This window comes from Homo sapiens, chromosome 8 (assembly GCF_000001405.40).
Source record: "Homo sapiens chromosome 8, GRCh38.p14 Primary Assembly".
In the NCBI taxonomy this organism is placed as follows: Eukaryota; Metazoa; Chordata; class Mammalia; order Primates; family Hominidae; genus Homo; species Homo sapiens.
In genome coordinates this window covers 64,248,435-64,262,195 of record NC_000008.11, presented here as the reverse complement: position 1 = coordinate 64,262,195, position 13,761 = coordinate 64,248,435, and the positions used below count along the sequence as shown (strand labels likewise).

General features: G+C 36.3%; 1 long non-coding RNA gene across 1 annotated transcript in view, besides 1 other annotated feature; it reads left to right on the top strand.

The window, feature by feature from the left end:
- Positions 1 to 13,761, top strand: part of LINC01414 (long intergenic non-protein coding RNA 1414) — a 511,616-nt gene that overhangs the window by 106,363 nt on the left and 391,492 nt on the right. The gene's annotated exons all lie outside the window — the stretch shown is intronic.
- Positions 7,734 to 8,244: an enhancer, noted in NCBI's record as "H3K4me1 hESC enhancer chr8:65166509-65167019 (GRCh37/hg19 assembly coordinates)". NCBI's record gives its function as "activates a minimal SCP1, AML or CMV promoter by ChIP-STARR-seq in naive and primed H9 embryonic stem cells {active_cell/tissue: H9 hESC(naive and primed)}" and the evidence as "EXISTENCE:reporter gene assay evidence [ECO:0000049][PMID:30033119]".

Sequence of the window (13,761 nt, the reverse complement as noted above, 5' to 3'; positions counted from 1 at the left end):
GGTACATGTGCACAATGTGCAGGTTTGTTACATATGTATACATGTGCCATGTTGGTGTGCTGCACCCATTAACTCGTCATTTACATTAGGTATATCTCCTAATGCTATCCGTCACCCAATTTTTTTTCTTTAATCTTCAAAAGGTACGACTGGGAGGATACTTGCACCTATTGAGAAAGCATGTGGTCCTCTCCCTGAGTGATTGCTGATGACATAGAAATGCATTGTAGCCTCTTTTCACTTAAAAATTACATATCAGGTACTGCTTACTCTAGATTAGGTTACAGAGCTGCCATCACTCCACATCATCAGCCCTGGGACCATTAAAGATGAGCAACTATTATACAAAATATAGTTGCAAACACAGAAGGATGTAGGTATGCCATGATTTCAGGGGATTGGAAGAGTATGAAAGAGTGACTTCATCCCTCTTTCCAGATGATGCTGAGAGCATTCATCTCTGTAGGGATGGTTCAGTTATTGCTGATTCAGCCTTCTTGCTTATAAAAATGCATTCTTTATGCTAAATGGAATATGCATGTATCTTTTGTATGCCAAGTTCTTAGACTGGTAGACTTTTTTGATCCAGGAAAAAGTTTCTTTTTTAGATCAATACTACACATCACCTTCAGTGATTCCTCAATCCTCTGATGACAGACTTTAGGCCACGCATAAATTGTTTCCTTTTTACATCTCCAGATTTAGGTCTCAATTTTTATCCTCATATTGTGCTGTTTTGAATGTGCTATTCCATCATGTTCTAGTCCTCTCACCTTTTTGCCTGGTGAAATATAATCCTTTGTATCTCCACTTTAATAACCCCCCTGAAGAAAGCCTCCCTTGAACTCCCAGAGCAGGGTAGGCCCTCATGCCAGGCCCCCATGGATTGTGCCCTCACTCTGTTAATCTCTTCTTCATGGCTTGTCACAAGTTAAATTCTTGTTTATTTATGGCATGTATTATGATATAATTAGATGACAGCAGGAATTATGTGTGCACCTTTACTCATCATATACCACAGCATCTAACACAGTATCCTTGGCACACTGTAGACATCCGAATATTATCTGTTAAAAAACTGAATGGATTCAAACTCACTTTCCAATTTCATCTCTCACCAACCTCCCATTTCCGTATACTCCTTATCCTCCAGTTATCTTAATGACAATGATACTCCCCAAACACATAATGTACTTTTAAATTTATCTGCCTATGTTTGTCATCTTCCTTCAGTATGAAATGCATTTTCTGCTTCTTGAAATTATACTCATAGCTTCAATGGCTCATTCTCTGATATTCATTTCCTAATCTCCCCACTTAAATTAGTTGTTTCTCTCATCTCCTCTCTACAACCTAGTTGTTTTTTTCTCAGCACTTCTACAATATACAACATTAAATTATATATTTCTTTAGTACTTCTCCTTTTTTTTTTTTTTTTTTTTTTTTTTTGCTTTCACCACATTGCATGCTCTCAGTGGGCCAAAACTGTGCAAATGTTCTTTGTTCCTCACCTGACTTTCATAGCACTTAGCCATGGGCCTTGAACACAGATTATACACTTTGTAATTCTTTTAAATTAAATTGAATTGTAGTTAAAAGTTTATTCCCCACATCTTCAGGAGACTGGGCCTTGCTGGAAAGAGTCAGAGTGTGCAACGTGGCTGCACTTTGCAGCGGGTAGTATTGGCGGAGAGACCATGTGTAGGGCTTATGGTGGAAGAAGAGGAGAGGCACAGCAGTGTGGAGGCTACATGGAGAGGGTGTGCGTAGGAGAGACAGAGTGGTTTCTGCACAGTCTATGTGGGGATCCCTGGGGGTTGAGACTGGTGAAGCGCTAAGCATGTTTTGCTCAGCACTGCTCAAAGCTTTCTGTGAACCGTTCTTTTCCCTTCTGGAAAATCTGCAGTAAAGGTCTACATTATTCTTCATGCATCTGGAATTGAATTTGTGGGGTTTGAGGTATGGTTGATGATGGGCAGGTCTAGGCCTCAAGACAGCTTTTTGTAGATTACATATAATGTTAAATGCTGAAAAGAAGAGGTAAAATAGAGGCTAGGAAGGCACATAAATCTACCTTTTTTATAGGCATCACAGACACAAGGAGAAAAATCCTTTTAACCCTTTTTACTAAATGATTCATATTTTCCTCCTGACTTTTTTTGTCATTTCATTTTTCTACAATGGTCTCCAAATTATTCAGTCATTAAAAAATTTATCATAACATTTGATGCAGTCACTGACGCATTAAAGGTCATTTATGGTTTATGGGAAATTACATTGTGTGAAGTGACATATTAAGTCCCAGTGGGCTAAAGAAAAAATATACTGATTTTGGGTTAAGGATGTACTTAGGACAGTGGATGTGATGTGAACACTGACAGCTCATGGAACCTTGTAGACTCTTAAAGAATAGGAATAAAGTTAATTGCCAATGTCAGTTGACTAGGGACATGGAAGCAAAGGAAACCAACTATTTACCTGTATGTTTTAAGCTGTTCATAGCTTAGTCTTGCTGAAATGCAGAATGACAGGATTCTAGGGCTGAAGGCTAGAGGAAATAATTTAACTCTTAGCAGCAAATTTAAACCTGTCAAACTCAGTCCTGTTCACAAAGATCCCGAGGAAAGAAAACATTACAACTTTTCACTGTGACCAGTTTGTAAAATAATCCTTATTAGTAAAAAATTAATTTTACATACAAAAGGGGTTTATCAGTGTTAACTATTTTGACCTTAACCTGAAAAATTAGTTGGCAAAAATTAGGAGACATTTAAAATTTTTTTCTCTCATTGAGTTAGGCCTCGGTGTCTCAGTATGTAGGCAGTTACCTGTTATTTTCCCAAGAAAGTACTTATTGGAGAGGAACAAAACTCTCCTTTCTCTTGACCTCAGAGGTAACCAGCTCCGCTCTATCTCCCAGTTACATTTGGGTAACTGAAAACAGGACAATCACACAATGTCATACTTTTAGCATGTTGTGGCTATATTGTTGTGTACATCTTTTGGTCTCTAAAACAAGTAGTGGTATTATGGATATGATAGTCTAAAAAGTTTGTCTAGTTTTCTCATATACTTTGTGAGAAGTAGTAAGAATAGAAAAAAAAGTCAAACGTGTCCTTCTCTGTTTAATAAATATATGTTAGAACTCAGTTATTAAAGTTATCCAAGGCTTTTCTTCTCCAAACTAAGTACTCTATTACTTCTAAACACTTTTTATAGGTTTTATATTGCAATGACGTTCTCAAATAATAATCAGTCATTCACTATAAGACATTCCATTCTCCCTGCCCCCTGCCAATATATACTATGTGGAAATAGAGCAGTGAACCAACAGCCGGGCTCCCTGCCTCCTGGAGCCTGCTTTACACTGACCTAAGTCACTGGTGAACCTGAAAAATGTATCAGACACAATTCCTCCATTCTAAGAAATTTCACTATAGGGAAGGTAAATATAAAATCAATGTTTATTAAACTTATGTACCAGGTACTATGAAACGTACTTTCACAAAACTAATGCCATTTAATCTTCAAATATCCCTTGAAGCTATGTATTATTTTCTCCATTTTCGTAGCAAAGAAAGCTGAAATTAAGTAAAATTAAGAGACTTCCAAAATATAACATAGGAAGGTGGAGGCAGTACTGGAACTAGGGTGTGTTTTTGGACTCTAACACCTTTTTACTGAAATTATGCACACAAAGTAATGCAAGGCACCATTGCCTCATAGCAGTTGTGCTATAGCAGTGCATTTCAAACTGTAGTGTGCATATAAATCACCTAAGTGCATACATATATACACATGCATATACACATATATACATATATATGTATACATATATACACATATAGGTACATACACATATATACACATATATACACACTTATACACACATATGTGTATATGTATACACACACACATATATATAAAGTATATATGTGTAAGCATATATATATATATATATATATTTTTTTTTTTTTAAATCTAGAATCTGATTCAGTAAATCTGGGGTGGAACCCAAGATCTTGCAATTCTATCAGGCTCCAAGGTGATGTTAACTAATGCTGCTGGTTTGAAAGCCATACTTTGAGCAGCAGGAGGCTATAGGAATATAGAAGTGAGGAAAGAGTTCAGGAGTTGAGAATGCCCTATAAAATAAGTGATATTTGGATAAGTCCTTGATTGACAGGAAGATCTTTCACAAGGCACAAGTGAGGAGGAGAAGGTGGAGCGAGCACTTCAGGTGGCAGAAAAGCTTGAGTAAGGGCTTGCAGGTCAGAGAAATAAATGTAGTGTGTTGTGGAATGGGTAAGAAGTCTATGACAACAAAAGTGTAGGTAATATGTAAGTGCATGATGTGTAATTAGAAACCAGAATGACAGTGTTGAGCAGATTACAGAGCTCCTCAAAGTGAGGCTAGGGATTATGAAATTAATTATAAATGCAGAAGGAATCTATTGGAGGCTTTTGAGTGTTATTTCTTATAGACTTATGATTTAGGTATTGTATTATGAAATATACTGTCAATGCTGTGTAGGAGGTGAGGAAAAATAGTAAATTGGGATATCTTGCGATGATTTCGGTATTTAGTAATGAAAACTTAAATTTCAATGATAACAGGGAAAACACAAAGGAATAGACCAAAGTAATTATTGACAATACTTTGCAAGTGTATTAATGTGATAGGCAAGAATATGAAAAAAGTCAACAATGAATTTGAAATTTACCCTCTATGTTATTAGCAGAATGGTGCTACCATTGACAAACTGAGGACACAGAAGGATTAGTTGGCTAAAGAGAAAATAAGATGCCCACTATATCATTTGTTCCCAGAATTCACTGCCTCCCTCCACTGGGTCCATTCTTACTAAGACTGTCTTTGGTCCCCATTCCTTGAAGGTAGACGTTTGGATTGATACCAGAGTGAGGGTTTGTAGTAGATGTGGCAAAATGACATTTGGTAATGAAGATATTATGATGGAGAGGGATGTCTGTGCTAGACTGGAAAAGACATGAAACTAGAGGTTTTGAGAGAGAGGAAACTGTGATCAAAACAGAGAATACAAGTTTATTTTATGTCTTAGTGAGTTTTGAGCAAGTGAAGTGAAAGTAAGGGACTGACAAAATGTGAAGATATAAGGCTGTGACCAGAGTGCAGGATATCAAAGTAAAATATTTCAGAAGCAAAACAATCCGAGTGATAACAAAGTCTAAATGTACTGTAGAAGTGCATGGCTGAACTGGGGTGGCTGAGGCAGGCCATCTGTATTAAGAGGTTCCCCAAATTTTGATAATAGATTATTGAATGCATGATTTGAAGGAGTAACATCTACTAGGTTAATGTTCAAAGATAGGATATAGAGAATGTGAGCCAGTACCAGATTTGAGGATGTGGCTCTATAATTGGCAGATTATGGGGAGAAAGAAAAGTAGAAAATAGTATAGCAGGATGGAATTAGACTTAAAGAGGAGAGACTTTGAATGGGAGTGTTAAAGTAGAAGCCTGAAAATGGCAACAAGATGTGGTAGATTGTAATACAATTTTCTGTGTCTTGTACATATTTATCTTATTTATTTTTTGGTGAGGGTGGAGGTAGGAGAAATGGCAAAAGAGGGGTTGAATGATTGCCCCATATCAGCAAGGAATTTGAAGACTAAGGGGACTGGGGTGGAGATGGAAAGGAACCCAGATTTCATTGAAGCAAAAAGGTCAAAAGTATGTATTGTAAACAGATATCAGATAAATGGAATCACACCTTTAAGTGAGGGTGCCAAGATAAGGTGGAATAGTAGTGGGAGGAGCCAGAGGAGATATTGTCCTACACACTAGCACCTTGGATCCTACCACAAATTTAAAGCTTTTAAATTACCATGTGACAAAAGTTGTCACTATATTTTATTTTATTGATTCTCACAACAATCTTAGGTGATAGATGCCATATTTCTATCTTGTAAATGAGCAAGAAACATCTCAAGGAAGGTGAGTAAGAATTTTGGAGATAGGTAGGTCATTTTGAGGCTACAGTGTGAAATATATCAGCTCCATCAATGCTGAAGTTGATGAGGATAATGACAAGAATTAGAGCAGAGAGAACCCAACTGGAGATCATTCAGCTAGTGAGTAGCAGAATTTACCACAATGTTAATACTCCTGGGCTCAATAAGACATATCACTTCTGTGATACGTGGAGGAAGAGAAAAATCTATAAATTTGAAGTAAAATAGAAGAGGTTTACTTCAAAGGATAGTAACAACGTGAACAATGAAGTGCCTCTGTAGAAGCCATCTTGTCATTAGAATGATTTGGAAGATTGACCAGTCCAGTTATTCCAAAAGTAATGTTGATGTGCACACATCATCTAGATTGTGGGTAGGCAGAATTTCTAGTCATAAATAAATGGCTTTGCAAGACACTCGGTTAGACACAATTGCTTAACTCTGCTCTTTTGACATGAAAGCAGCTGCAGACAATACCAAAATGAATGAGCATGGCCGCATTCCAATAAAATTTTATTTCTTTACAAAAGCAGGCAGCAAGCTGGATTTTGCCTGTACTATGCAGTTTGCCTATCCTTTATCTAGACCTTGTTCTCTTCTTCTAGAGGATGAACTTTCCAACACCACTTTGGCATGGACAAGGAGCATTAAGAGAACTAACTACTCAATGATTCCTGCCTTCATTATCTGAATCACTCAATTTTAAATTCTCCAATACCATAGATAAAGGTCTGCCAGAATCATTTTACCTACTTACCTTTCCCCATGTCCATCCCTGGTTCTGTGGTACTAGGTTTGCTTTTGAGGTTGACTCTGTTTTCACCCTTCTTCTGTTCCTGACCTCTGCAAGATGTTGAGATCATTTGAAATAATAATACTGTTTCTTAGAGTATTAAACATTATACCCAACTTGATGCCATGAATTTAATGAACATGTATTTTATTATCTGGGTCATTGGCCAGAGAACTGTGAAAATATAGGAAATTTAAACTTTCCTGAAAGGTAATAGAAAAATGTTTATTGATCCAAAAAGATTTATGAAACTCTTACTTAAAGTCTGAGTGAAGAATGGGTGTGGAGATTCCAAATACTTTCATAAAGAGCTCCTCTCCAATAGAATTAATGCATATTTCTTCACAATAAAGGATCGCATTGATGTGACACAACATCACGTATTTAAATGGTGCTATTCTCCAGAGACTGTGTAGCTTAATGGAATGTCTCAGATAAAAACAAAGATTTGTAATTTGAACTTTCTGGGTAATCTCATTATATTCCGTCTTAAGATATGTCACTACAGTAGTGTTAAATGTCAATCTAACATTAAATAAAATAGGCCACTAAGGCATGCTCACCAACTGAGAAATAGAGTTACAACAATTACGAATAACTTTTATCAATTGTTTTCAGTTACTTAAAGTGAGTTTTGAGCCTTTGTGATGCTCATAATTTTTTTGCTTTTTCTTCTGTAAACTAATATATTGCAATGTGTATTCAAATTCCCATTGCTACATAATATTCATTAGGTGTAACATTTCATTTTAATGTTCCTCTACAATTTTGAATTACATAAATCTAAAATTAGAGCTATCATTTATTTTTTCTTTTAGAAAAACTTTTTTTTTTGTTTTTTGAGACGGAGTCTCGTTCTGTCGCCCAGGCGGGAGTGCTGTGGCGCGATCTCCGCTCACTGCAAGCTCCGCCTTCCGGGTTCACGCCATTCTCCTGCCTCAGCCTCCCGAGTAGCTGGGACTACAGGTGCCCGCCACTGCGCCCGGCTAATTTTTTGTATTTTTAGTAGAGACGGGGTTTCACCGTGGTCTCGATCTCCTGACCTCGTGATCCGCCCGCCTCGGCCTCCCAAAGTGCTGGGATTACAGGCGTGAGCCACCGCGCCCGGCCTAGAAAAACTTTTTATTGTATTTTATGTCATAGTTCTGGCATCACCTCTAGTGTTCTTAATGTTATGTTACCACCTTGTTCTTTGTGTATTTCAGAATAAGACCTCATCAAGGTGAGAAAGGAAGGGTGAAAGCAAGTAGATAGGGGAACAGAAAATAATTATTTTTATTAGCAATTACACTAACATCTACCTAAGAGATATAGGCCAGGTCAGACGGAAGTTATGGCTGATGCCAGGGTGGTATAAATAAGTAGGGGTAGAGAATAAACTGCATTTATTTATCTTCTTATTTGTTGCTTCATGATATTTTGAAACCTGAGGTTTGCTAACTGTGAATAGTATATTTAATTTACTTTAGGTTGATTTGAATTATGCATATGTATGATGAAGTTCTTGTTCTTTGAAGCATGTAAAAGTTTAGGGTGAATTTTTAGTTTCTCTGTAGAACTTATTTACTTGGGGAAATAAAGCTACTTAGCTCAGGCTAATGAGATTAAAGTCCTGGGTCCAATATCCCTGCATGAGTCAGATAGCTTTGCTTTGTTCTGCAGACACCAAGTGCATCTGTCATCCGGCCAAATACATTTCAAGGGCCCATCACTAAGTAAATCAGGTGTTGAGATAGAGATGAGGCTGCACAAGTTCATTTCCACCGGAAAAACAGCAGAACATACATGTTTTACAGACAGTGGGTCATTAAATAGGCCTTGTATACAAAATACATGAAAGAGTAATATATAAAGACAAATTATTTGAGATATAGGTAAGTTTTCTATTCATTTTATTTGTGATCCTAACGAAACTATGACGGCAACAAAGAAGATGTTAAATAGGTGTTGAATCAAATCAAGCTTCTGACTAAATATTCCTGAATTAGGCCAAAATTTTCTAGGTAATACGCTGATAAGTGCACATCTGTTACCCACTTACCTTATGGTTATTATTATTCTGGTGATTATTATATTTTTGATTAAAGATAAATTATCTTCCTCATTTTGACCATCTTCACCCTCGGTTTGGCTTCTAGCCCTCATTTCATTGTTCTCCATTCCATTCGCAATGCAACAATACTCACACCATTTCTTCTTCTTATTTTGTTCGGATGTGTTCTCTTTGCTTTCCCAGTAAATTCAAACTTTGTATCTCATATTGTAGACTTGCATTTCTTCTTTCTTTCTGCCTCTCCCAGGTCTTGGAGTGTGCTCAGGAATATATACAGTTAGTCTAGTAAGATTCCATCAAGTGTTTTCTGTGAGACCCTTGTAGTGTGCTATAAAGGTAGAATTACATACATCTAGAATTAGAACTATCATTTATTTTTCTTTTAATAATTTTTCTTGTATTTAACATCATAGTTCTCATATCACCTCTAATGGCCTTGTGTCACTAGAAAGATGTTCCTAAATCGTCATTAGAATATATCCTAGAGATTACAAAAAAAATTCTGCATCATCACTATAACATGTATTAGACTCCTAACACTTATAAGGGGATGATCTAGGCTCCATGACTCAAACTGTTGTGGTGACTTGAAGACTGTATTAAAATGGAGCTTCTAATTTTGCTATAAATTATTTACAAGGACTTTCCCAGTGACTTAACTCTGTAAGTTTTAGTTTTCTCATCCGCAAATTTGGGAAAATGGGCCAAATTAGAGATTTTCATATGTTTTTGTAACAAAATCCAGTTTATAATTGAAGTCTTATTTGGTACTCCGATATGGAAAACAGATGAAAGCAAGGCATCCCCTACTGAAGAGTGAGGAAGCTCACTGGGCATAGCCTCCGTCCAGCCTCCCTGTCATCTCCCTCAAGGCTCTTCAGGTACTGCCTTGGAACACAGCTTGAAACAAAATGAGTAGATGCCTAAAGTCTTCTCTAAATCTGGATTTCTAAACATCAGCTGTGGTCTACCACGGTGGCCCCTATGAACAGGAACAGGAAGTGCTGAATATGTGTTGAATTGAACTAAATGGAATTAACTTGAATTAAGGAGCATCATTGAGATCTCCAGTGCTTTTCCAAACCAGCTTCTTGAACAACAAGAATGTTCTCTACTTGTTATGTTCACCTGGCTTGTAGCAGTTTGTAGGACTGAAAACGTAATTCTTTGTTTGATCTCATTTACATGCCATTAGAGGAGCACATATTTGAGTCCCAGATGATAAATGGTTTAGTGTTTATTTGGCCTTATTTAAACAGATATTATGTAATAAGTCCTTAAGAAAAGCAAACAAATGTAACTAATAATAAAATATAGGGTAAAGATGAACAGATGTAAGAAAAATTGGTCAAGAACTTACTTAGAACTTAAATGAGTATTTTCCGTTAATGAGTATTAATTAATGACATTTCCACAAAAATAAATTGATGTTTTAGGAATTATAAAATATTTCCAGAGATAAAATTAGTGCCTGATAAAATTTTTTTCATAAGCCAAATAGGAATTTAGTAGATTAAAATTTTAGCAGTTTAGAACAACTAAAAACCTTATTTACTAAATATGAATGAAAAATGATAAGTAGAACACTGGATATTGGGGGGAAGCATTTCTCTGGGAAATGCTTTTCCCACTTTATTTTGAAATTATAGGTGTTGGAATGCTACATTTTAAAAAGACACAGATAGCGGTTAAAAACGGTTATTAATTTTTTTGAAGTTTAAATGCAAATATGCCCTTCTCTCCCTCTCGTTCAATAGGAAGAAATGAATAATCAAAAAGAAATACAACAAACTTTTGTTTAGTCTGGGAATTGGGAATAGGAAAAGCACGGGCAATTAAATTTTACAACTAATTACCAAGACTCATTTTAAGGCAAGTAATTTTAACCTCATCCCCAATTGAAATCCAGAGCTGCTAACGAATTGAAAATCTGACTGGGTTTAATTTCATTTCCAATATTTTTCTTGCACACCCTCTGAAGCTGTGCCCAAATAAAAAGAGAATAATAGGAATGTCTCTGAAAAAAAAGTGGATAAGTGGAAGGATGCCTAATGAAGAAATGACTCTGTGGGCCAAAAGGAAGATGGCTGAGATTGATTATAGCCTCCTGCAGTTAATTTGACTGGATTGTCCGTAAATGAATTCTTGTGGATGTATTTCCCTGATCTCCCCAATGTATACAGTCCTTTTTAGGACCTATCTTTCAGAACAAATTGCCATGTATTAGGTCTGCAGTTAAAGTCCTGAAGCTTCCGGACCTTTCTGTTTGTGAAATCCATGTCAAAGCATCTATTTTCCTTGAGGATTGTTTATGACTTTATGTGTCATGGAGGAATTCAGCTGTCATTATAACTATTGGTGACAATAATGATTAGTGATTTTTATAGTGATTAGAACAGACGATATTGTAAGGACATTAGAAAGAGTTCAAATGCTGTACCACTCTCAATATGTAAATATTTATTTTTAATAAAAACATACATTTTAAATTAATGTCACAGTTCTCACATCCACTTGTTTGTTACTTTTACTTAGTCTTCATGGTCTAGCCATGTTAGAGACAAAACAATGGCTGGATTCATTTTACAGCCTTGAGTATGAAGTTGATTCAAATCCAAAAGGTCTTGCATTGGAAAATTTATTTTGTTTTGCTTGGTTTTAATATTAGTACATAATTTATTGCAATGAGGAAGTGTTTAAGACCTTGAACATGAGAAGACAATATTAATTAATCTTTGAAAGTGCCTTCCGAATCTTCCATGGTGCCCCCTATAGCCCCGCAAAAGGCTGACTTCTTAAAAAATTTATTTGAATTTCTACAGTGGCTCATACTGCGACTTCTACCATTTGGAAAGCAATGGGACACCTATGCAAGATGCTCCTCTAAACTCAAGTGCATTTTGGGACCAACAAGCCCAAAAGAACAAGCATACCCAAGTCATGGAATCACATTGGTCGCAGAAGCACTCCACTTTACAGAGTGAGGAGAGATTAATGTGGATGCATATTAGTGTTACTGCATCTCTTTCTTTTTCTACATTTCCTACTTTTCAGTACTGGGATAACTGCTCTTTGCTACCTCCTCTGAATCTATTAAGATAATGACACTGAATGGTAGAAGAATATCTGTTGATTTATCACTTCTTTAATAAAATAGACAATCACAAGTTAGGTACTGGTCAGATTGTAGAAGTTGTGTGAAAATATTTACAAGAGAGGAAATTAGCAAGATTTTGTTACAATTTAGGTGGCTGAAGATTCACGTGTTCAATGACTTCTAGGCTGATATGAGTGAAAGTATTATCCTGCAGTATAAGTAGGTAATGGAAGAATGGTTCCAGAAATATTCAAGCCCTAGGAAAAGAATTAAGTATGTGATGTAAACCCTAAATGTTGATTAAGTCTTCTTTTCCTGTTTTAATAAAAAATGTGTTCTTAACTCACTTTTGTTCCATGTTAAATTCCCAGGTGCTGAAATGTATCTGGCAGATAGTATATGCTTTATACATATTGGCTGAACTCTACTTATTTTATCTGTAGCCCTGTTCCAAGTACAAGTGACAAATTTAAATGTACTGATTTCTGGCATTTGGGTGGGGGCAGACTTTAACCATAAGGCCCTTCAGACCACTTGTTTCTTCGGCAGCAGAGTGAGGGAGGTTGGGCTCTGTGAGGCTTCCACAGACTCCATCACCAGGCTTTCCTGGAGTCTCTAATGCTATCTTTTCTTAGCTGGGTTTTCTGAGGAAACTTGCAAAATTTCAGCTTTACCATAGACTGAAAAAAAAAAAACACCAAAATCATGGTTTCTTCTAAATTAGAGCTTGCCTTACCTTCAATACCTTAAGCTTTGGCCTCAGAGTTGATAATCTATTTCTAGATATGAACAATCACCTATTACCAAGTTCTGTCATGCACTTTTGTTGAAACAATATGATGAAATATAAAATCTAACCATCTTAAACACATCTGAGGAAATCTTCATTCTTATTCACATCTAAAATATAGATAACTGGCACATTTAACTTTGAAATGTTTGAGATCACAGGTTCGTCTAATGAGGTAGAGATCTAACATTGATGTGGGTACCAATTAATTACCTTGGTGAATTCAGTGTACTCAGTGTTGATTCTCTTTAATGAACTTTATATCTGCACCTTAGGATAGTATAGTTACACTCACATCTTCATTTACTCAATAAACATCTGGTGAGTATTCTCTAGAAGGCAGGAAGAATGCTGGAAGCTGGAGTTGCCATGTCTAATGAAACATACTCTCTGCCCTGCCCTGAGAAGATTTCAACAGGAGTGGAGGAAGAACATTACAGTAGATAGACTGCCAGGATAAAATTATGCCCAAAGTGTTGTAGAAACATAGAAAGATTATAAAATACAGCAATGGAGGGACAGCAGGAGGTCTTCTAAAGTGAGTATGGGTTGGTTAGACAAACAACAGGACAAAGAGACAAGTGGAGATTTGAAAAAGTATGTCATCTTTGCAAAAATTTTCAGATTATGAGCTAGAAAAATCAGTGGCAGAGAGTCCATTTCGAATCTAAGGTGATTAGCTAAGGCATTACTATCCTGAGTGATGTTGGAAGCCCCTAATGGGTTTTAAGAAAGGAAGCATCATGATCAGATTTGTAATTCTTAAAAATCACTTTGGAAAATTATATTATTGAAAGAAAGACTATGGGAAGGAGGACATAGATGTCAGCCCGTGATAAAAAAAGAAGAGAACCTTTAGGAGATGAACAACTGAAGCCTGGAATCTGACAATAGAAGTTGGATTATTGGGAAAAGGCAACTGATAATAGAGATACACATTTTTCATTTCTTGGGCTTAAAAGATGTTTCAAATGGAGAGAAGTGGTGAGTTAAAGGGAAGAGCTTATGATAAATCTAAGATTTCTGGAATATAG